General features: G+C 33.0%; 1 protein-coding gene across 13 annotated transcripts in view; it reads left to right on the top strand.

Annotated features, from left to right (window-relative positions):
• The window catches only part of KCNT2 (potassium sodium-activated channel subfamily T member 2), a 382,662-nt gene that overhangs the window by 160,472 nt on the left and 195,738 nt on the right, over window positions 1-26,452 (top strand). For all 13 annotated transcript variants that reach the window (NR_146057.2, NR_146058.2, XR_001737149.3 and 10 more), the window contains 4 exons: window positions 18,212-18,392; window positions 19,700-19,864; window positions 21,981-22,117; window positions 24,856-24,919. Coding sequence is in view for 9 of the 13 variants with exons in the window: in NM_001287820.3 (NP_001274749.1) it covers window positions 18,212-18,392; window positions 19,700-19,864; window positions 21,981-22,117; window positions 24,856-24,919 (547 nt within the window). In the remaining 4 variants the exon portion in view is untranslated. The remainder of the gene's footprint in view (window positions 1-18,211; window positions 18,393-19,699; window positions 19,865-21,980; window positions 22,118-24,855; window positions 24,920-26,452) is intronic.

The raw sequence follows: 26,452 nt of genomic DNA, 5'->3' as shown, positions 1-26,452 counted from the left end.
AACTTTTCCTAATATCATTCTCTTTCCAGACCTTTGGTAAGAGTTAGAGAGAAAGTTTTCAAGGCTCTTCCTGCTCTCGGTGGCCTGACTTCTCTATCTGCCTAGATGCTCATAGAGGTAGACGGATTTCAAGATCATCTAGAAGCTGATAACTGCAGCAGTCCAAAAAAACGTTGTTAATTCTTCTGTCTTTCCAGACAACTTTTTTCGTCTATCTTCTCTGTCAGTTACTCCACTATTCACCCTATCCCTTAAAAGAAGTGAAAAAAACTTGGCATATCTGGACTCCTCCCCTTTCTTCACACTGAGTATTCAATCCATTGATAAGCCCTATTGGCTCTACCTCCCAAATCTTTACATCCAGCTCTGCACTGTCACTACTCCTTTTATGCTCCATTATCTCTTGCCTGGATGATCTGGTCTGTCTTCAACATAATTGCTCCCTTATAATGCTTATCTCTCTGACCCCAACTTACATCGTACTTTCTCTCCTTCAATAGGCTTCCTCACCACAGCTTTCTTTTTGTTCCTTGATGATGTTATGATGATTCCTGACGTGTGGGTTTTGAACTAAATGTTTCTGATTCCTTGTATGTTCTTTACTTAGCTTTCGGCCTCCTTTAGGTCTTGGCTTATATGTCAAATACTTAAAGAAATCTTTCTTGACAACTCAGTTCAGGGTCTTAAAAATATTGCTACACCATCTACCACCAACTGCTCTGTAATACATGTTTTCCATTATTTTCGATCATTTGCTTGTATCACAGTTTTTTTCTTTTGATAACATAAAATATGTTCTGGAAATGAAACTGAGTTTTTATCATACATTTGAGGCAAAATATTTCATTGAAGATGGAAAGAAAGAGAAAGAAAAAATGAAACAGTGAAACAGTGATTTTACTTTAAGTTCAATTTCATCCAAAGCGATTAACAATGAAGGCCAATTAATGAACTATATTATTCTTTTCATACTAGCCATGTTTTGAACCTTGCAACAAATATTTAAAACAGGGATCAAAACTTTATAGATCTACATTTCTAATGGGTAAAGACAGGTGGTAGTAAAAAGAGTGATATTAAGTGAGTTCTTTTACATTACATAAGTGGAAGGAAGACACAGTAGACAAATTTTTCACTTAGGAAAGACAGTATAGCTTAGTTAAATTTCATCTTATTTGGAACATTTGTCTTAGTTAATTAGTAGCTTAATAACTATTACTGGTTTAGTTCACTAGGTTTTAAATGTGGACTTAGAATACAGCCCCTGAATAAACAAAGTACTTGTAGGTAACTGGCTCTCTTCCTAATTGATATATCTCAAAAATGAAGATATGTCTAATTTCAAAGATTTCACAGAGAAGGCTTATTTAACTTCCACAAAGTTGGGGGTAATTGATGAAAAGCTTTATTGTATTTCTAGGGCTACCTCCTATGAGTAGAGTGAATCTTGGTCAAGATTTTTACCCTTACTGCCCTAAGATGCTGCTTCTTTAGAGAAACGAGTTGGACTAGATCAATCAGTTATTCCCAACCAGTAAGCTGTGGTTCCACAGCTTGCTCCATACTTTTCATCAGTGTCATCATGGGTTTGTTATTCTATGACATTGATAATTGCTAAGAATGAAGATAAAGACAATTAGAATAATGACCGTTAAATGTTATTTTTAGTTGAATGCGTCTCATGGAGTGAAAAAGTATAGAGAATAGTATATTTATTGTACATGTTGGATTTAAAGAAATCTATCTTTTGCTTAATTTTTTTGTCATGTGTTTTGAAAAAAATACAGAGTAGAAGCTTTTATTGAATGGTAGCATCTTAATTGCAATATTATTGCCTACCTTAATCTCCTTGAGTTTAAAGAATCTGATATGCTAAGTCTCTGACAAATTTTCTAAAAATTAAAGTCATAAGAGCAATGTCCGTTAGGTTAATGCTAACACAGACTATGTTTTCCAGTAACTTTCTTTAGTTTAGAATGTGTCATTGACCTTCTGACACTGCTCTTTGAACAAATATCATTGATCAGGAAAACAGTTGTAATTTGCAGTAATTTTTTTTTTTTGGTCTAAGAGGCCATTCTGTAAAGATACTGATGTATTTGATACTAGCTTATAAGCAATTAAATGTACCATTGACAGAAAGGTTAGTTGAATGCTCATGGACTGCTCAGCTTCCTTTCAACAGTGTTGTTACTCACATATGGTTATGTTTGTATATTACAGAATTATCTATGAATATTATAGTCCATGAAATGGATATAAGTTCATTAACCATCTCTTAGAAGGGAGAAATTTTTCAGTTGATTTTAAGCAGAGCTTATTATGAAACTGAAAGGGCTATCATTATGACAAAGTTTCTCTGTTGATGAACATGATATTTTAATATTACACTTTAAGAATTGAATTCAAATAAGTAGTTACATAAAAATAAGAGTCAGTCTTATTGTGAGAGTAATTCTCATTGCTTACAATGTGAAGAGACATGTTAAGCTGTACTTTCTCTTTTATTTTTAATGGTTACATTTGGACCATTTCTGATAGAATAAAACAAAGCTTATTTTGTGCCTCATTTAATTTCCAGAAAATGTTGACTAGAGACTATTTGGTCTTGTTATCTGGCAGCAGCTAGCAAGATATTCTTTTGGAAATGCAATAAATGTGTACAAATCGTTTAAATTAGCTGATATTTATTTGGTCCTATTTCATATTTCACATGTGCAAGGACATTTAAATTGAGTGTTAATCTTACTAACTTCTTGATAGTAAAGAAGATGGGATGTATACATATATTATTTTATTTTTATCAAATCTGTGAACATATCTTTAAACATATAATGGAAATAGTGTGTAAGCTAATATTTCTATATTATTTCTTGGATATACACTTTACTTTTAAGGGCTGAATGAGATAAGTAAAATAAATTTAAGCAAAAAGAAAAGTAGGTTGTAGAGAATAAAGGGCTCACAACTTAGAAAATCCTTTTAGACTGAATTTAGTAGCATTTCTGTATCTATTATTTGCTCTGGTTAGAGCTATAAATTCACTTGGGTGATTTTCATGGGCAGTATTAAAGTGATTTTCAGCCTGAGACTAATAGTTTAGTGTAAATATATTTGCTGCTTGGGGCAGTAGGAACCACTCACAATATCAGTAGATATTGATTTACTGATGACCTCAAACACTTCCCAAATGATTTCATTCTCTTGCTTAAAATTCTTCATTTGTGCTGTTAGAGTCTTCAGGGTAATGCAAATATCTTAGTGTTGTATATGAAATAATTTATAATTTGTCCCTGCTTTCTTCACTGGCCTCATCTATTCACATTTGCCCTACTCGAAATGCTTTTGTTTATGATCATACTGCACCAGAGTAATGCATTTTACAGTTGACTTTTTGATGAAAAATTTTATTAAATCTTCTTTATAACCAGTAGAATTTGTTTTTAACTGGTCACGATGTTGAAACTTTTCCTATCAAGAATTCCCTTTTTTTAAGGTAAACTGATGAGAGGACGACGAAATATAAATTCAAAGGAAAGCAGAATAGGCATTATGCTTGCTTGTTTTTGAAAGTTAAGCCTTAAAAAAAGGAAAAAGGGAAACATAATTCTTAGAACGATTGACCTTTTGTATTATTGTATTACTGGGAAGGGAGTAAAGGTATATTTAGAAACGGATTTCTGATATCACAGTGAGCTTCAGAAAACCAGTGTAAGTTCTTTCTAATATTAAAGTCAGAAAAGTTTATATGAAGAAATATTTACATGTGCATGGAGGCTATGAACATGCATGTGGTCATGTGATACATACCTGTAGACCCACACATACACTCCATAGGTATACACACACACACACATACTCTCTCTCTCTCTTATGTTTTTTGCAAGCTCATTTCTTCTGTAAGCCACCATTAAATGATGTAGTTCCTCAGGGATCATTTCTAGGCCCTTTTTTAATTTTATCATTTCTTCTTATATTTTTCTTTTGGGAATATATCTTACATTTTAGTTATATTATCTGTAATTCTATAAATATAGCAGTATGGGTAGTGTGTTATGATATGTGTCCATGCAAATTAATGTCTAGGGATGGCTAATCAGCTTGTGAAGAACTCTAATCAGGAACCGGTACCAACTATTGCCAGTTTCAAGTGTCAATAGTTCTGTGCCCAAATCCTTTCAAATTAACATAAGATGAATTAGAAATATCTTTCAAGACATGAGGTTGGCAAGAAAATATTGTTTGTTTGCCTCTGCCCTTGTGGGATTGGATTATAAGAACACGGAGAGCACAGTAGCTTAACGCTTTAGGGAACCTTTTCAAACCTGTTTCCATTTAACAGCAACTTCAGTCACCTGATTCCACAAGCTGGTTATTGAACCTGCCTTTAGTACATTTTCATACTTTTGTGGTATGAACTGTTTTTTCCCATGTGTTTGTTCCCATGTATTTGTCAATATGTAAACCTGTTTGATCTTACAAAATAGGGATTAATAACTATTTTATGTGATGGAGTTTCATCTAAGATTTTGCTCTCAATGTATAATGTTTAGCTGCAAGGCTGTGGAGGGCAAGGAGAATCAAGCTGAGGCCTCAGCTTTTCCTCTTTACATTTGTGGTTACAAATATGCCCCCAAAATAACTTGAAAATGATGACCAAATAAATAGTCTTAGGTCAGTTACTATGGCTTTCATTACAACGTTTAAATGCAACTGTTTTTGTTCCATTTCCTCTTAGATTCCTCAAACTAAATATGTCCAAAATAAAATTTGTATTTCTTCCCAAAATGTCCCCATCTCTGAGATAGCAATTACTGCTCATTCTTTTGAGCAATCCAGATACGTAGGAGGCATTCTTAACACTTCCTGCTTTGTTACAGAATACACAATCAACAAATCCCATAGATTTTACCTCCTAAACACCCTGCAAATCTATCCACTTCTGTACTTCTTAGTCACCACCTTATTTATCTAAATGATCATAACCTCTTTATAGCAAGAGCTATATATGTATGTGTGGCTTACCTATATTCCCTCTGGCTCTATTCCAAACCATTCATCTCATGACAACAAAATGACCTTTGTGATAGACAAATATGATTGTGTTACCATATACTTAATACTTGTTAAAATATTCCACGTGTCTTGTTGTATAGGCAAAGCGTGTTAATTTGTTCTGAATTTCTTACATGAACACTATTCTCCCTATGTTTTTATTCTCATCTCACATTTTTATTTATTTTTTCTCTGCTTCAGAGTCCTGTTGTTGTTGTTTTGTTTTTACTGCCTCCATCATGCTAACCTCCCTTCTACCTAGAATGCTTAACCTTCTCTACCGAATAAAGGCTGAAAGCTTGACATCATTTTTATTTTAAGCATGACTCTTGCATTGAAGTCCGAACCACCTGCTTAGGTCAAATTCCACTATGAACGGAAGTCATAACTCTGGGGCCTCTTCTTTCTGTAGTTGTATACATGTACATTAGCTATTATTTTCTATCTCTTCCACTAAACTCTAAGTTCCATCAAGGAAGCAGTCATGCTGGTTTTTACATACCAGTGTCTTTGCCAAAACTAAGTACTGTGCCTGACACTTAATAGTACTCAATAAATAGGTGAATGGAGAACAAAACTTTTTCACATTTTTCAGGAGAAGAAAATCCTATAAGTTTTCCAAGAAGCAAGAAGTAACAAATTGAAAGTGTTCTCATTTATTAGTAGAAAGGTAAAGTGATTAAGTACCAGGTTGCCTTTATTTACTGTCTTATGTGATTTTGTTCTAAAAACGTGAAAATAATTTTATAATAGCTTTTCCGTCGGTGATCCAGCAGAACTGTTCTTTTTCCCAATAAGCGTTTAACTGCTTAATGTTGGAGTTTCATAGAATTGGAGTTTCCAGACGAAAGTGATGATTTTTCTTGATTATTGACTGTACTATGCGATTGCCTTTGACCATAGTGCTTTTGTCTCCTTATTTTCACCTGGTTTGATCTACTTTAATCATCCTTCTTATTCCATTGTTTTGTCTCTTTATTTGTCTACTTCCTTCACAATTCACAGTGGGAAATACATTTTACATTAAGCACAGTATGTATTTCTTAATAAATGTTTATGAATGGATATGAATAGATACTTTGTACAGCACATGACCTAAGGATTCAACAGAACAACACACTACATGATTAAAAGCTCCATCTTTCCTACTAATAACAGAACCCTCCCACTTTCATTTGTATACATAATAGTAATAACCCACAGGCTGAGTCTATAAAAACTCTACAAAGATTGTTTAGCAGATGCTTTTATTTTTTTAAATCATTAATGATGAAAGAAGATAAAATGTAATAAATAGCAATTTAACATAATTTTGTTTAAAGAAGTATATTCTATAGGACTGGCAATGGACAATGTGGACAATATTGAAATATTTAATATAAGAAAGAACACTTAGCACTCTGTTTGGTACAGCCTTAGATAATTTCTGTCTCACACCTTGGTGATTCTTCTTTCATTAGGTGAAAGAAAAAAAGGAAAAAAAAAAAAGTAGATTTTAAAATATATAAATTAAGATAGCTATTCAAAATGGAGAATATTTTGTTAAAATGAGACTTAAGAAGTGAATACTTTTTAAATATATATATATTTTTTATTTTTAAGGGTAATCTGAAATGAAAGGCCAGCTATGATATATGCCATGAATCTAGATACTGCAAAATGGGGCCTAATACTTTTCAGTTAATGTGGTTAAGATGTTTCATAGGTGTTTAAATAGTTTCTTTAACTAAAATTATTCTTAATAAGATTTAACACGGTTTCAGTTAACAAAAAGGTGGAATGTCAATTTTTTTAATGAGTTACAGTTTTGAGTCTTCCTTTCCATATGGCATGCTCAATTTGGTGAGCCACATTTCAAAATAATTGCAGTACTTAGGAAAGAAATCTGTCTTCTCCCAGCTTCTTTCTGAGCAGGATGAGGGAGCTTCTGTGCTTATCTAGTGCTTTGTTTGGCTGCTGTGGGTCTGTATGTATAGACCGTACTTTGTCAGGAGTTCTCAAGGTTCAGATTTGTAGGAACTCAGTAAAAGAGATGCTTAGTGAGGCATATTGATTTTTTTGGATCTGTGGAAGGAATGGTAGGTCATGCCAAAATGCAAACTTATGGGTTTTTAAGTAGAATCAAATTGAGATGAAGGGTAGAGATGGAGAATTTTTTAAATGTTGTATTTTAAGTTATATATTTTGATATCCATGAAAAAACAAAAAAAAATAGGAACTGACAGTTTCATTATTAAATTCCTTTATGGAACAGTTACTCCAGGGCTGTGTAATCCACATCATAGACAAAGATAAAAGTTACCCAAGTCATTTTATGATTAAGGTAAACTGTGATTCTTAATTACTAAGACAAAGCACAAATTATAGGCTCACATTCTCAAGGTTTATTCCACGAAACCCTAACTCTTTGAAATATTCTGTATAAACCAAAATATTTGGCAGATATGTTTGGTAAATCCTTTAAAATTAATCAATTCTCAGAGATACACAATAAATATTAGTGCAATAAAAAAAGTGAAATGTCATTTGATAAAAAACTATGCCTAAGCCAGAATTGCCAAATGTATTTGACTGCAGAATCTTGTATCTGCTTAATATTTACTGCCAAATTGGATTTTCAAGGAACATATACATACAATGAAATACAGAACTGAAGACAAAGTTCACTTTAAAATGATGGGTTTAAAAATCCTGTGGTAATAAATTGCCAGGATAAAATCATAAGTGCATTTAAATTAAAAATTAAAACCAAACAAAATATTAAACAAATAAAAAGACACTAAACATTACCTCAAGGGTAGACAGGGGTAGGATAATATAAGACTTTCTTTGTATCCTTATTGAATGTCTTTAGTTTATTTTACTTTACATTCTGGGATACATGTGCAGAATGTGCAGGTTTGTTACATAGGTATACATGTGCCATGGTGGTTTGCTGCACCTATCAACCCATCATCTAGGTTTTAAGCCCCGTATGCATTAGGTATTTGTCGTAATGCGCTCCCTCCCCTTGACCCACACCCACCGACAGGCCTTGGTGTGTGATGTTCCCCTCCCAGTGTCCATGTGTTATTATATATCTTTTAATAACAAGTCCATATTACTATTGTTTTGGAACTGAAAAGATTAGAACTGTAAACAAGTTCAAGTAGGATGTAAACCAAGGAGTGTAAGAAATGGCTTGCTACAGGTATATATTAATAAAATACAAAATCCAAATGGATGGAGGATATCTAATAGGAATGTTAAATTCAGCATGCCCAAAAGGGAAATATTTTCCTACCTTCTACCTGCAAAATTTTCTGTAGTATTTCTTACTTTATGTCATTATTAACCATTGCCTTTATCCCCTACTATCTGTAGGTTGTATTTGGAAAATCAATAACTATTTGTTGAAAACCACATAAAACAATATACTTGTCAAGGGGCATATTTGTTTCACATGGTTCTAGTCATGTATTCAATCTTCTATTCATATAATTCTGGAATTATTAAAGTATGTGAAATTCCCCAGGAAATTTCTGTATTTTCTGTTGTACATTGGTTGTAATCAAGTTCTGAAAAAGTGTTTAAGGACAAATTTAGCCATTTGTCATTTTGTTCTATAGTATTCATAATTTAAACACGTATTTACCTGAATTTTAGAAAAAAATACTAGAATACCAGCCTATAACAATTCTTAAAGGATTTTTATTCTGCGGCAGTGTTCTTTAAAACAGATATTAACCAAAGTGGACATTCATATAAAACTAAATCACGGTAAGGCAGAAATTACTATGTGAATTAGTTTTGAAAGCCCAAGTCCAGTTTAAGCTCAATATTGTGAATATTGACCACAGTTATGCAAAAAGATAAATATGTGAATGGCGAGATTTATCTGCTTCCTAAAGTGCATAAACTTTAAAAAAATAGGTATACTTAACATTCACAAAATATAAAATCCTTAAGTCATTTAAAATTAAATATCCATTTAAATCTTAATAGTGAGTATGAATATATGTTTTAAGTAATATAAAAAGAGAAAATTCTATTGGATTTTTTTTCAAAATATTACTATTTTAAAATTTAGGTCTTAAATGTTAACATATCATGATATTAGTTACATAACTTAGTGAATTGTATAAATATATACATATAGGATATACAGATACACTGTCTTTTATATAATCACAAATGAAATCCTTTTATTCAATTAATCTCAGTGATAAGTAATCCTTTAAAACAAGTCACTAGCCTGATGTTGACATACTGGCACTGAAATAGTGCTTAATCTTTTTTCCCTGACTGCTTTTCCAAGAATTCGTTGTCAGTTTCTGTAAATGATGGCAGTCAACCCTCCAAAGGTCAACTAATCTCAACATGACTATTCTTTGCAAATAGTTAAAGATTATGGGTTTACTTTGCAAATTGCCTAACTCTTCTTTTTTTGGAGCCTTCTATGATCGCCCATATTTCCACTTCCATAACCCTTGGGACTTGCAGCATTGAGAAAGGACAAGATTATAGCTACTCATTAATCCCTGGATGGTGTCTGCTGCTAATAAACTTGTTAGTGAATCCTTAGGAAAGAGGGATAAACACTATGTTCTTATCACCACTTTCTCTCTCTATAATCCCTGACTCTATCGTTAGCAGTAATATTTTATTTTTTTGTAAAATAGAAACAAAAGCTTTATGAGACTTTTGTGTATATATTTGATTCATTTTTATTATTCTATTTCTCTCATTCTGGGGCTATAAATAAATAACAAAATTACTACTGAATTCACTGAACCTTATTCTATCCCAGACATTTCACAGAGCATTAGCTCATTTATTTCTCATTATAGCCAATGGGAAGTTAATATTATTATTAATATATTTGCTTTTCATTTGAGGAGCATGAAGTTTGAGTAACTTACCTAGGTTAGCACTCAGCAAATAAAAAATATTTATTAATTTATGATATTATTAGTAATAGTAAAGTGAGGTCATAATCATTCACTTTAGATTCTAGAGGCTCTTTTTTTACCAGACTGGGTGAAAGACCTTTGTCCTATTGATACCTGCATCTGTAACATCCAGTACAATGCTTGGCTAGTAAAACATTAATAAATTTATTTGTATGAATAAATGTGACTAACTTTTATAATGTTAGGTAGCTTTTTTCCATTACAAAATACTTAAGTAAAATTTTATAGCACCTGTTAGTGTACATAAATGATTTTATTATTATTTAAAATTTATAGGTATTTTTGCAATGGAGAAATTATACTAAAAAGATATTCATTTGCAATTTTTCATTTGAAAGTAAATGACTATAAATGAATTGGAGTAACTTTGATATGTATTAACTAAGCAAAAATTATAAATAGAACATGGTGTGACATTGATTTCTTTTTTATATTTTAGATAGCAAAAAAATTTTTAATTTAAAATGTTTAGGCGGGGGATATAGGATAATAAACAAAATGTGTGTTACAATTAGGTAACTACCAAAACCGAGTATTTTAAGAAAACTTATATATATATATAAAATTTGTGTATATATATAAATAAAAATATATATAAATAAAAATATATTAATAAAAATAAATAAAAATATGTTTATGTATATAAATATATAAATATATTTATATATATTATATATATTTTATATATATAATAAATATTTATAAAAAATATATAAATATATATATATATAAGCTTTCTTAAAATACTTGGTTTTGGTAGTTACCTAATTGTAACACACATTTTGTTTATTATCATATATCCCCTGCCTAAACATTTTAAATTAAAAAATTTATTGCAATCTAAAATAAATATATATAAATATATATAAATATATATTTATATATAGATATATATTTATGTATATAAATATATATTTATATATGATATATATTTATGTATATAAATATATGTATATTTCCCAGTCACAAAACAATATTAAATTTGATTACTAGAAAATGTAAACATACCAAAATGTTTACTAAAATCCACCAACTATGGTTATTTATGCTGTAATGAGACATTATTAAATTCTTTTGCCACTTTTAATGTAATATATAATTTAAATTGTTTAACTTGGTTGTAACTGACTGAAAAGATGCATTTCTTTTATGATAAGGCAAAATAGAATATTATGCTTATGAATGTGCTGTATTTGAGTACATTTTGTATTTAATTTATCAGAAAATCTCTGCCTATCATTAAAATTATTTCTGGGTACAGACACAAAATAAGAACTCACCAAAATTCATTAATTTTGATGAAAGAGAGGAGACAGTTTTCATTTAATAATAGCTCCAAAGACATGTGTGAATGAAACAAGATAACTATATTATAATGCCTGATTATCACTGTATTGCTTCAAATCTTTACGTAGCATGTTTTAAGATTCACAGATCTAAGTAAAATAACTAATATGTATTTGTGTAATATTAATGTTTGTGCATAAGGCAAATCCAGTATGTTACCAGTTCTAAAGCTGTCTTTGCCTTAATTCTTATATAACATATAGGTAACAATCAACTGTCTGTGTATCTACCTGTCCTGAAGGCACACTTTCTTCTCTTCCTTCCTACAATTAGCTGAATTACTTTTTGAAGAGATAGTTTATATATAAAGATATATTTTACTTGAATAATTACCACAGAGCAGTAAAATAAGTCTTTATATTTATTATCTTTGAAACCTCTCCAGTTGTGTTGCCAGTAACCAAAAGAATATGCAATTAAACAATGTTTTCCACATGTTGTATATAGGTACTCTATAATGGGTATCAGAAAATGATGCTATGACTATATAATGTGAATCAGAATAGTCTATTCTCTGTTTTTAAATCAAACTTCTCCATGTCTTAGTATCATTTTGTAAAATAAAAACTCGGAAGTAGTAATTTTAAAAATACTTTTTAAATGAATTTTTTAGGATTTTATGAGGCTTGAAGACAGTTTTTTCTTAAACAGTGTGAACATTCTACCTTTAGGATGTGATAAGCTAGTGCAAATTACTGCAAAATTCCCCTCTAAACAATTTCAACTCTTTGAGGAGGTGACTTTTTACATAAAAACAAGATAATAAAAAGGGAAGTAGTTGTAAAACTTAATGTGAAAGTGACAATGGAGTCCAGATTGTATACCTATTACAGGCAATTCTGTCTCTAATATTGAGTAATTTGTTTCTTCCATAAAACATAGCCTAGACAGTTGTCCGAATGCTTTAGTATGTACTAAACTGATTGACTGAACTTTGTATTAGAGCATGCAGTATTCACTGTGACATAATCGGATTATGAATCAAGCATTTGATTTGTACGTCAACATGGTAGCAAAGTTAATCATAAAAACTTTTGAAATACGTTATTGACATAGACATTTCAGAATGAAATGTGACTAAAATAAATATATCTTATATTGGAATATGCAATCTGTTTTATAAAAGACAAGTTTTTAGTTTATTATTTACTTGTACATTATTTATGTAGAATGAATTTCAATAAGTAAATCAAATGCATTTCAAATTCCCCAATTTTTCATTTATTATATTTAAATATTACTACCTGAAACAAAGGCTGGAGTTATAAATACTAGTTACTAGGAAAAGTAAAGCCTATTTTACTTGCTTTTAGTACTTGACTATTTCAAATGATATTATGTTAAGTAAACAGTCCAAATAGTGAAGGTGAGATAAATGAGACAAAAGTTTAAGAAAGAAACAAATGAGATCCAGATGCTGTAGTCCATATTCATATATATATATATATATATATATATATATATATATATATATACATACACACACACACATAAGTATCTATTGCTAAATAGCAAAACACCCCTAAACTTAGTGGCTTAAAATAGCCAGTTGGTTATTTCTCAAAATTCTGTGGTTGATTTCCAGGGCAGATTTTCTTCCAGTCTTACCTGTAATTACTCTTTCAACTTCAGTAATGGCCTGAGGAGAAATGGAGGATGTAAGATGGCCCTACTATTATGTCTGGCAATTGGAAGAGAACCAAGTAGGACATCTTAGTTCTCTTTCACATGGCCTCTCATCCTCTAGTAGACTGTACCACCATCTTCACAGTGTGGTGGTCTCAGGGTATCAAGTAAATGAGAAAAAAGAGCTGCAATGTCTCTTAAGGCTTAGCATCTGCAACCACATAATGTCACTTTTGTCATATTTATTGGTCAAAGCAAGTCATTAGTCCAGTTCAGATTGAAGGACCTGAAGACATAGACTTCATATCTTGATGGGTGGTACAGGAATATTATATTGCAAAAGAAGGGTTTGTAGAACATATGAAGACTTCATTTGTTGGCAGCTATTATAATAATCTATCAAACTACAGGTTATAGAGGTTTCTTTAAACAGTGAGAATCCCGCAGCTTTTCGAACCTGAGGTTGAGCTGTGTTTAAAGAATATGAATACTGCCCTTATGAGTACATTATGTTAAAAGGACAAACAAAAGACCTGGAAGCACAGTAGGAGACTTTTTTGGTAGTTTAGGTCTAGAAAATATATATTTGAATTAAGAAATATACATTTTAACTATAATCAGAGATCGGCTTTTAATGCAGACTCAAGCAAAAGCAAGCACTCAATATTTGAATCATTAAAAATATATGTTATCTTTCTTCTCTGTTCTCTAGTGAAGTATAAAGAAGTTAAGCAAAAATTGTTTACACTCTCAAACATATGTTATTTTAAATAAAATTTTAAAACTTGACTTCACAGAAGTGTTATACAATTCCATTTTTGGTAATACTAGACTACATTTGAATATTCTCGTAATTAGTTTGGCAATATTCCATAGGGGCAGCTGAGCCAATAAACTGTTATGAATCAACTCATTGGTTTAAGTATGTTTACAGTCTGGCAGCTCACACAAAATTTGTAAGCATAAAACGAGGGCGATTTTGCTGGGCCATTTTGGAGACCTGAAGTGAAAAAAGAAAAAGGAAAAAAGCAAATAAACACACACAACAGTTGTAAACAATTATAATGATGACATGTATCTTCCTTTCTCTCTTCTGTCTCTTGATACCTCTACCTGTGTACCTACCCAGCTACCTAACCATTCATAAGCTTATTCTTGACTGTACCAATATATATATATATACATAAAGACAATAGAATATGTATGCTACATAACTTAGACAAATAAGGAGATTATCTTAAAAGGCCGGAAAAGGAACTTCTGGAAAGTAAACATTGAATATTTATTTCTTCATGGTTGTCATAATTGAGCCATGTGCTTCTTGTGCCCAGAAGCCATAGTGAGTATTCACAAATATACACTGATTTTTAAAATAGCTTTATGGGGACATAATATATGTGTCATAAAATTTACTCATTTTAAGTGTAAATTCAATAATTTTCTCATGTATATTCAAAGTTATATACATAAAGAGATATATACCATCACCTCAATTTAGTTTCAGAACATTTTCACCACCACATTCCCATCATCAGTCCCAGGCAACCACTAATTTGCTGGCTCTTCTCTGGATATTTCATATAAACAGAATCATACAACATGTGGTCTTTTATATCTGACTTCTTTCACTCAACATGTTTTTGCTGTTTATCCAGAACTTGGCTTCTTTTAATTTTTATTTATTTATTTATTTACTGAGTAGTATTCCATGATTATATTAGTCTGTGCTGCTATAACAAAATTCCTGAGGCTGGGTAATATATAAACAATAGAAATTCCTTTTTCACAATCCTGAAGGCTGTGAAGGCCAAGATCAAGATGCTGGAAATTTAACATCTGTTGAGTGCCTTCTCTCTGCTTTCAAGATGGGGCTTTACTATTGCATCCTCCCAAGGCAGAAGGGCAAAAACAGCCCAGCTGGTTCTCACCCACAATTTTATAAGGTTGCTAATTCTATTCATGAGTGCTCTACCCTCATGACTTATCACCTCCTAAAGGTCCCACTTCTTAATAATGTTGCCTTGTGGGATTTAAGTGTCAGTGTGAATTTTGGAGGGGACACATTCACACCATAGCCTTCTGCTCCTGGCCCATCAAAATGCATGTCCTGCTCACATACAAAATACATTTTATTTCATCCCAGTAGCCCCTAAAGTCTTAAGTTGTTCCAACACCAACTCTAAGTCCAAAGTCTCATCTAAATATCACCTAAATTAGATATGGGTGAGACTCAAGGCATGATTCACCCTGAGGCAAATTACTCTTCAGCTGTGAGCCTGTGAAATTAAACAAGTTTTGTGCTTCCAAAATACAATGGTGAGACAGGCATGGGATAGATATTCTTATTCCAAAGGGGAGAAATAGGCAAGAAGAAATGGGTAATAGGTCCCAATTAAGTTGGAAATCCAACAAGGAAAAAACATTAAATCCTGAGGTTTGAGAATACTTTTTGACTCCATGTCTTGACTTCTGGTCACACTGGGGAGGAGTCGGCCCCTACCAGGCCATGGGAAGCCCCATCTTCTAAGCTTTGTTTGGCAAAGACCACACAGCAGCGTTTACGGAGTTGGGGTCTAGCATCTCCAGCTCTCCCACACTGGCATTTCATGCTGCTGACTACAGCTCTGGGGTTTCAGGGATGGCTCCACCAGGCATTGCTCTAGTTGGGGACTCTGTGCTGCCATACCCCGGTGGTAGTTCTCTTTCTTGGCCCCAAGGCTCTCCAAGGAATCCTTTGAAATCTAGAGGAAAGGTCACCATGCCTTCACAGCTTGTGCTCTTTGCGCACCTGCAAAATTGGCACCACATGGATGCCACCAAGGTTTACCACCTCTGACTTCCATAGCAGCATCCTGAGTCACTCCTGCACCTGCTTGACCAGCACTTGGGGTAGCCAAAGAGCACTGCACCAGAATGAAGAAAGCTGACTCTTGAGGCCCCAAACGTGCCCTGGTTTCCTCCGTTGAAACTATTCTGCCCTCAAACCTTTCACACTCTGGTCCTGTGATGAGGGTGACAGTCTGGAAGAGCTCCAAAATGCCTTTGGGATTATTCTTCCATTGTCTTGATGAAGACCACCTGGCTTCCTTTTATCTTACAAGAGTCTCCTTATCACATAGTTGCTTGGACAAACTGTTGGTGTTTTCTCTGGAGCACAATTTTTATTTACAATCTGACCTGGCTGGGTATTTTCCAAATTTTTAGGTTTTGCTTCCTTTTTGATTATAAATTGCATTTTTAATCCATTTCTCTCTTCTGACATTTTACTAAAAGCAGTCAAGAAACACAATACATCGCCTCGAACACTTTGCTTAGAGATTTCTTCTGCTACGTATTCTAGTTCACCACCTTTAAATTGTGCCTTCCACAAAAATATTTGGACACAGACATAATTACCAAGTTTTACCACTTTGTAATAAGGATGCCTTTTCCTCCAGTTTCCAATTAGATAGTCTTCATTTCTGTCTAAGAACTCATCAGAAAGGCCGTTACCGTCGGTATTTCCCCCAATATTCTGGTCATGACTGTTTAAATAATCTATAAGAAGAGTTAGGCTCTCTCTACTCTCCTCTTCTTCTGAGCCTTCACCAAAATTGCCCTTAAACACTGAAAATCTAGGCTTTTTTCTGGCATGTACCCTAAAACTTTTCCCACCTCTACCCATTACCCAATTCCAAAGCTGCTTCCACATTTTTAGGTATTTGTTATAGCAACACCCTATTTCTCAGTGTCAATTTCTGTGTTAGTTCATTTGTGCTGCTGTAACAAAATACTTGAGACTGGGTAATTTATGAACAGAAACATATTTCTCACAGTTCTAGAAGAAGGGGAGTTCATGATCAAGGGCTCACAGATTTGGTATCTGGTGAGAGCCTTCTCTCTCACCAAGATGACGCATTGTGGCGTGTCTTCACATGGCAGAAGGCAGAAGAGCAAAAAGAGGGCTAGCTGGTTCCCTCCAACACTTTTATAAGATTGCTAATTCCATTCTTGAGAGCTCCAGATTTAATCACCTCCTAAAGCCCACCTCTGAATAATGTTGCATTCTGAATTTAAGTTTCAACATGAATTTTGGAGGGGACACAAGCATTCAAACCATAGCAATTATACACTGATTGCTGTGTTGCAAATCTTACATCTTCCTCCAACATTGCAAAACACATTTTATTATTCATAGTCTCACTTTGCTTTTTTTTGTTGTTGTTAATAGCAGCATTATTTCTAATGTGATTTTAACACATTTCTAATTTGAGGACATCTAACAACTTTTACGCTGCTCTCTTACTGTCACCTCATCAATAGCTTTGCACAAATGATTGATTCATTTAAGGACTTGTTTTAAGAATTGTTTTGTGTCTTAGTCCATTTTGTGCTGCCATAAAATAATACCTGAAACTGGGTAATTTATAATAAATGGAAGCGTATCGGCTTATATTGCGTTTGGAGGCTGGGAATCCAAGATCAAGGTGCTGGCAACTGGTGAGGGCCTTCTTGCTATCTCATAACATTGTAGAAAGGCAAAGAGAGAGAAAGCACACATGAGACAGAGAGAGAGAAAGAGAGAGAGAAAGAGAGAGAGAAAGAGAGAGAGAGAGAGAGAGAGAGAGAGATCGATCTTGTGAGGGAGCCCATTCCCAGGATACCAACATTAGTTCATTCATGTTGGTGGAGCCCTTATGACCTAAACACCTCTTAATGGTCTCACCTTTTAGTGTGGTACAATGGCAATTAAATTTTAACATGAGTTTTGGAGGGGACAGCATTCAAACCATAGCATTTGGCAATTGTTAACTCCTCAAGCCTTTTACTGTCTTTCTCTTCTTCCTAAATTATAAAAAAAGAAAAAGAGTCTCAAAAAAATTATAAAAAAAAAGAAAAAGAAAAGACTTGGTATTTTGGTAGGGATTAGAGGTAGCGATTTCTTGTGTTGATGTTCATTCAGTGTCTATGTGTATCACCCATGAAATTATCTGTTCATTTTGCATGTTACTCAAATATACTGTGTGATATTTTAGCTACCACTTTTGTCTATTAATCAAAATAAGATCATGTCTGGTCAATGTAGGACAAGAACTTACTAATTATATCTTTCCTAGAAAAATATATTGTAAAATATAAGAGGGACTATTAAATGGCTTTATGAAATGTGCTTTGGCTTTCAAAAGAATAATGATGAGAAATTATGTGTCCAGTTTGAAAGATTTAATTGTAATGCATATTTGTTTCTTTAGCATTTGTGGGATCCAACATCTGGAACGAATAGGAAAGAAGCTGAATCTCTTTGACTCCCTTTATTTCTGCATTGTGACGTTTTCTACTGTGGGCTTCGGGGATGTCACTCCTGAAACATGGTCCTCCAAGCTTTTTGTAGTTGCTATGATTTGTGTTGCTCTTGTGGTTCTACCCATACAGGTAAACAAAACCATCTTATATTGCATAGAAATGTACAGAGACATGAAATTGAATCCTCCACATTTAATAAGAAATGGAAAGTGGCTTATTTATCTAACACTAATTTACTAACACATACTATCATTACATTTAATCAATTACATAAATTACTGCAGAAATGTCATTTTACATTTTATTAGAAACACCGAGTTGCTTTTTTTTCCTTCCAGTCATGACTGACAGCACTCATCTTATTTCAATCATTCAAGATTTTTTTTAGTATAGGGTACTTAATTATATTAAATATAGAATAACATAGTTTTTAATTATAGGATGATAGATCAAAGAAATAAATTTGTGAAGGGTTGATTTCTCTTGGTTCTTCAAAATAAACCACAAAGTCATACACTGCAATGAAGAAAAATCTATTACTTATGTTTGTCAAATAAAATCTGGGCCAGGTGCAGGGCTCATGCCTATAATACCAGTATTTTGGGAGGCTGAGGCAGGTGGATGGCTTGAGCCAAGGAGTTGAAGATGAGCTTGGGCTATAAGGTAAAACCCCATCTCTACAAAAAAAAAAAAAAAAGTCTGAACATGGTATGTAAATATTATGTGGCACTTTGGGGAGTGAGTAGGGAGGTTGCAAAGGGATGGATATATAAATGGAATTAAAGATAAGTAGATGCAATCTCTAACTCTTTCCTATAATAAGCCCTGGCTGCCCATGTGTGGGCAGATCAGAAGCAGGCTATAGGGAAATGCAAATCAAACTTGCATATTCCATTGCAAAACTTTGGCCGCAATGTATCTGAATAGAATACCTGCAAAAATGGCCTTCCTGCTCCGATAAATTCATGCATGTCTTTCTTCCTGACATACCCTCCCTTGCACCTTTCACTTTCCTCCGTTAATGGCTACTGTACAGCTAGAATGTGGCCTTGTGTGTTATGGTAAGAGTAACTCCTATTGCATGAGATATGGTTAGAATTTGACAGAGAATGTGGGAAAATAGCAATGAGGCTTTTCTCTTTCACTCAGCTCTACTGGACATAAAGCAGAGGTACAAACCTCTTAGTGGCCTGTTATTATGTGATAGCAAAATCATGTTAATATGTTTCCTTAGAGACCCGAAGCCCCTGGGAGACATTTGCAGCCTCTGTAGAAATTATATGAAAAGTCTGTCGTTGAAGGGGAATACTGACAATTAGAATCTCAATGAGTTCCATCTAGGAAATTGAAAATACCTAATAAACAATAGATGTATTGCATTGATTTATTTATTTCCTTACTGTGTTTTTCATTCACATGTGGAAAATATATTACAGTTTGAACAGCTGGCTTATTTGTGGATGGAGAGACAAAAGTCAGGAGGAAACTATAGTCGACATAGAGCTCAAACTGAAAAGCATGTCGTCCTGTGTGTCAGCTCACTGAAGATTGATTTACTTATGGATTTTTTAAATGAATTCTATGCTCATCCTAGGCTCCAGGTACATTTGGCTTATATTATGTGCTATACTGGATCATACCTACTAACATATTGTCAAAGTCAATTAACTGATGGTGCAGCCTGCTTTGTGGAGGATTTTTATTTATACAACCAAATATAGAAGGAGTAAATGAAGAACCACAAATATAACCAGGAACATAGAAAAAAAATGCTGGAGGAATACTCAGTATTTTAAGTTTCCTTCTGTATCTACGCTGAAAGACAGATGGAATAATGTTAATGCTACAAGAAAATTTTTCTTTGAATTAAAAGATTGCTTTTTCTCCCTTGGGTAGAGCATAAATGATATTTTTATGGAACAGTGAATTTTAAGATAAAATATAATAAAACAAGAAAGAAACCATTTCAATATCATCTGCTCAGTTAAAATACTGCAGAATTTTATCAAGGATTGCTAATGGAAATGTGGAAGTCTGGGACTTTCATTTTTTTCTTTTGTTTCCTGAAGTATAAATATATCCTATATGTATAGCAATACATGACCAAAAATTGGACAATAACTAGCTGAATTGAGAATATGAATTAAGAAGAAACTTTTCTTTCTGTCTATGCAGATAAAATTCTTGAATATTTCCACTTTCTGCTACGGGCCATGGCATTAATCTCCTTTCCTGCTTACTGCACTTAGTCTGTTGAAGGTCTTGTATTTACTCAACAAAGTTTTGTCAAGAAGTAGAATAACTCCAGACTTCAAGACAATGCTTAGTATTTCTAATTATCCTTTCCTTACAAAACATAGAAATATTGATTTGTGAATATTTTGTAGACCTTTATAAATACTATATTTTTGTGTTTTAAAACACCTAATTTATAATTGATTCTTAAATGATAGAATCATTTTGTTCTATCTTAAATGGCAGAATCATTTGGTTCTTATTCTTTTGTTTTCATATGTTAACTTGCATTTTTAATAGCAACTCCATACTTGTTTTTTTAATTATTTATATTTAATTAATTTCAAGCTTACTTATCATAACTCATAAAGGAAATCCATTTGTGGGAAAATTTTGATCCCATGGTGTATTAGCCTGCTCTCACACTGCTATAAAGAATTACCTGAGAGAGGATAATGTATAAAGAAAAGAGATTTAATTGGCTTACGATTCCACAGGCTATACTGGAAACATGTCTGGGGAGGCCTAAGGAAACTTATGGTCACGTGTAATGCGAAAGGGAAGCAGGTGTGTCTTCACATGGCCAGAGCAGGAGGAAGAGGGTGGTGATACATACTCACTATCAGGAGAACAGCAAGGGGGAAATCTGCCACCGTGATTCAGTCATCTCCCATCAGGCCCCTCTCTTAACATTTGGAATTATAATTTAACATGAGGTTTGGACAGGGACGCAAATCCAAACCATATCATACAGTCATTAACTTTATCTAGTATCAATGTAGAGAATTATTTAAACTCCAGAAATTCCTAGTAGATATATTTTACAGCAGTAAAATGGTGAATGTTTACCAGAGAATTTTAATTTCTATAAATCATTGGTTTAAACTGTTTCACCACTCAGATGTAATTTTCTCCAAAGGACCATATATTTTGTAATATTTTGATATCATGTTCATTTAATTTACTTTGTCAGTATTTTCAGTGTTTTTATGGATCCTTATTCATTCAAATATTCATCAGAAACTGTTCAAAATTATTGTTTCATAATTATATAGCTAAATGATATAAATCGCTATCACAATTTTGATCCTAAAAGTAATGAAGTATGAATTGATACTTAAATGCTTCTGCCTGGTGTTCAATGTATATTTTAGGATCAGTCTGTAGATAAAACTAAAACCTTCACAAGCTGAAAGTGTGTGCCAGGTATAACCACTGATTACCTTCCCTTATGGTCTTAGTAAGACTGAAATAAGTTGAGATGAATTTATTGATTTATGAGATTTGTGTATGTCCCAGTTGTATTTATTATAGTGTAATTGCTATTTAATATATGTCCAGGTTTTAAATGTGAAATTTTATTAGCAAAAGTTCATTTCAGTTTTATCATATTTCAAATTTTTCTTAGATATTTTATTTTTCTATGTAGTGTAACATAAAACATTTTTGTTTCTATTCCATTGCCCATTTTGTTTTGAATAGGATTATTATGTGGTGATTTTGTGTCCTACTGAAATGGATGTACAGGTTCGAAGGGTACTGCAGATTCCAATGTGGTCCCAACGAGTTATCTACCTTCAAGGTTCAGCCCTTAAAGATCAAGACCTATTGAGAGCAAAGTAGGTATCCCTGCCTTTCATCTTGCAGCTTACAGTTTTGAGTGACTTAATATTTTCTCTTTCCTCCAAATTTTAGCAATTTTCAGTGTTGCAAGATGTGTTAAAGTATGTTTGAGTATAGACTCTTGCCTTAGTCCCTCTGCTGGCCAAACTAAAAGGTCAAAAATATATCATAAAATCAGTGTGTTTACTCCTCTTTTTCAGCCTCATCTCAAGGCAAAACTGTTCAGAAGACTGTGACCACACAGCACAATGAAAAAAGTGGCCCAGAATAATTATCTTAAGCTGTCAGAGATTCACTGAGGTATCCAGACTCACTGTTAGAGTAGTCTCCAAATCCCCGAATACTGTTTTTATCCCACATATAAAAATTGTGGGCTAAATATGGTGTGACATACCAGTGCAGTGTGAGTTAGGGTTTACATTTTAAAGAGCTTGCACTATGTATTGGACACATAGCACTTGTGTTGCCTGGGGTCAGAGAAAAAATGGTTGCCATGGACTAGAGGAATCAGAAAGGTGACAGGACTTACTTAGCTACCCTCAGCTACCCTCTTCTTTTTGTGCATGTACCAGGCAATTTGTCTTAAAGGTGACATAGTCTTAAACATTTGTCACAAGTTACCAAGTTGTATCATATGAGTAGAGTGAGAGTATTATTGAGCATAGCGTGGACACCACAGAAACAGAGTTTCTGCAAAACAGTCTCCTTAGTTTCAGATGCCAGAAGGTATCTTCAACAAAAGTGGTTTTGCTCAATATTTTCTGCTGTTTTTAAAGTTTTAAACATATCTTCATGTTTACCCTTGAGTTGTCCTGCATACTCTTCTAGATTTAAAAGTCTCCCACTGAATTGAATAGCATAAGTGCTTTATACTTTTTTTTTTCTTTCCTGGATAACCTGAGTGTGCATGAGCGGGTGTGTATTTGTGCCTGTCTTCACTGTGTGTGCAAGTGTGTGTGTATGTGTGTGTGTGTGTCTGTCTAGTGGGTGTTGGAAAAGAACAGAAGAAAAGTCAACTGTTTTGTGGAACAGACTTCTGGACTCCTTTGTGCTGCATAATCCTTCAAATGATGACTAGATACCTAGTCAGGAACTCTGATGTTACCTTTGATTTATATATAATAAAGTCGATTTAATGGAGTTTTTTTTCAATGATTCAACTTCTGAAAAAAAAACAGCACGAGAAACTAGCAGGATATAATGAGTGTTATCTAATTGGAAAATTACATTTCTTTGTGAGTATTTTCATCTTTTTGGTGGATTAAATACTTTATATTTGTGGTCATTGTACATGTGACAGTTCTTTAAGTCATCAGATTTTCCCAGCACCTCAGGTAAACCCTGGCTTTAGGTGTTTACTGTTTGCTATCTATACTCATTATTTGGGTGTGCTAGAGAAATAGATGCTTAGATACTACTGTAATCTAGATCATTGTATTCATTGGTGTAGATAATCAATATTCTTAATTTATTGTATGATAGTTAAGTTCTTCACACAATAAACATGAATAACATTCATATTATGTTCAATATGAATTTGTGTAATACATGGAGGCTTCTTTCCATCTAACAAATTTATCTGAGTTATTGGTATTAGCTATTAGTATCTAAGCTATATACTATTTAGGATTAATGTAACTAATTTATTACCAATAGTCTTAAAATGATGTCTTGGTAAAAGCGACCATATTTACAAGAAGAATTCCTCCATGTGATAAAAGAAAAGGGAAGGGAATGAAGGAGAGAGAGAGGTAGCTATCTGGTCATACTCTAAAAGCTATTTAAAAAAACAAGTTAGAGTGACGCAGTATCCATTTTTATGTTCATTTCCAATCTTAGCTTCCTATAAAATATTTGGGATTTAATATAAACTAATACATTTTTCAGTGCAATTCCTCATGCATAGAGCATGGAGTAGGATTCTCCAAACAAGTTTCATAGGTTAGTTACATGAGTTTTGAATTGTTTAGTTGAAAATGGTGTTTAAAGAAAGTTATCCAACACTCATATTATCTTAATAACCATGGTGCAACATTTTCCCAGAACTGTTTGGTTTGGTCTTATTTCAAGGACTTTTATATTTCCTCCCCATAGAAACCATTTTTTTTTTTGGAAAATATTTACTTTATCACAGAGAACCACAGAGATAAATGATTCCTCATTTTGAAAATAAACATTCTTGTGCTCTTAGAACATCATGTATCAAACACTAAAATATACTGTGTCTTTATCACTAAACTTAAGAAATATTGAACCCTAGTATGAGGGGAAGGGGCTTGGAAAAAGATGATGAATGATCTCCAGGAAGTATAAATACAAACTAGAGTTTTACTTATGAATACAGAGGAGCTGTATTCCACCCCTCTTAGTTTGATTCAGACATTACAGTTAAAATACTATTAATCATAAAATAAAGACCAATATAGCCCCTTAATTTACTCAAAGCATGCATATAAAATATATTTAATCATACAAAGAAATAACATTTGGCTTTTATTAACTTTTGTCATAAAACATTAAGTTATAATAGACAACCCAATAGCAAATTTTTTTTTGTTCAAAATCAGATATAGTCATGATCTGCTAGAAATTCAACTTTCATTTAAGCTTAAGGATATACATGGTCTACATGTACATTTTGTGCAATATATGGACTCAAGACTGAAATTCTATTTTTCAGAAAACCTGTAGATATTTCAGTGTGTGATTATTTTGTTTTTCCATCTGTATTTAGGATGGATGACGCTGAGGCCTGTTTTATTCTCAGTAGCCGTTGTGAAGTGGATAGGACATCATCTGTAAGTTTCTAAAATCTTTTTTAGTAAGTTGTGCTTTCCATTTTAGAAGATTTTTTTTAATTTGAGTTTTTAAAAATTCGCCAGCATTAAGTATTGGTGACCTTAAAGTTTTACTAAAAGGAAACAAATATTACTGAGCTATCTTTTCCATAAGAACAGTTGTATCATTGATTGTATTAACAAAAGTGTTTTTCAAATAGTTTCTATGAATATTCTCATAATCTGTTGATCAAAATGAATCATATATAAACAGAACTGGAACATTTTTTATTAAGTATGTCTTATGATATGTAGTTTTGTTAAAGTGGCCTCAATTTTTTCAACCTTAAGACAAAGCAGATGGATCAGGCATTAGAACCAATTGGAGAGTTTCTCAAAACTATGCATTTGAGAACCTTCTATTCAAGATATTTGGGGTGGTAATCAACAATCTCTGTATTTTTAAAAGCTCCACAGGTAATTCTGAAACACATTTCAGTTTGGTAACCTTTGGCTTATATGATATTTATGATGCATTTTTTAGGTCCACAGTTCTATCAAACTTTAAATTAAATTGTATAAAGCAAATAATGGTATAAATTATATTTAAAATTTTTTATTTTATAATTTTTTTAAGTGCTTCATTATTTTATGTTCAGTAAATTCTACTACCTCCTGTGTTTCTAAGCCAATGACTCCATCTCTAGCCATTATCTGCAATGTGTGGACAAATGAGAACAATTGGTGGTTTCTATAGAGAATGGGAAAAGGCAAACTGTGCATAGATCTTTCAGGTATACGTTTTATTCTCTTCTGGAGCACTTAATAGGCATACTCTTTTACATTAATCTAGGACTGTAAGTCCTGAATGGGCAGGCTCTGTGTTGTCCTCACTCTAATTTACCTAAACTACTTATCCATTTCTAAAATGTTTAAACTGATTTTCTCATCTTTCATTTGGAGTGGGCTGCTATTAGCTGAATTGTGGGCCTACAAAATTCCTGCGTTGAAGTCCCAACCCTTAGTACCTCAGCATGTGAACTTATGTGGTGATAAGGTGTTGAAAGAAGTAATAAATTTATAATGAGACCATTAGGGTAGGCGCTAATCCAATATGACCAGTGTCCTTATAAAAAGAGAAAATTTGGAGGCAGACACGTATACAGGGAAAACACCATGTAAACATGAAGACGGCAATATACATGCCAAGGAGAGAGGTCTGGAACAGATCCTTCCCTCACAGCTCTCAGGAAGATCCAACCCTGCCAACAACTTGATTTCCGAATTCCAGTCTGTAGAACTGTGAGACAATAACATTCTGTTGTTTAAGCCATTCAGGTTGTGGTACTTTGTTTGGCAGCCCTAGGAAACTAACAGAAGAGTGTAGACCAAAAAATGATTGGAAAACTTTTAAAATATTTTTTGAAATATATATATGAGAAAAAGTATCTGCTCCCCACTTTCTTCACAATTACTACCTTAATTCAGATCAGACTGATTCATCAGTTCATTTAAGCACTACTTTAATCGTTTCTTAATTGGTTCAACATAGTA

Source organism: Homo sapiens, chromosome 1, assembly GCF_000001405.40.
Source record: "Homo sapiens chromosome 1, GRCh38.p14 Primary Assembly".
In the NCBI taxonomy this organism is placed as follows: domain Eukaryota; kingdom Metazoa; phylum Chordata; class Mammalia; order Primates; family Hominidae; genus Homo; species Homo sapiens.
Note: the sequence above shows the minus strand (reverse complement) of the source record. Positions and strands in the feature narration are given on the sequence as shown.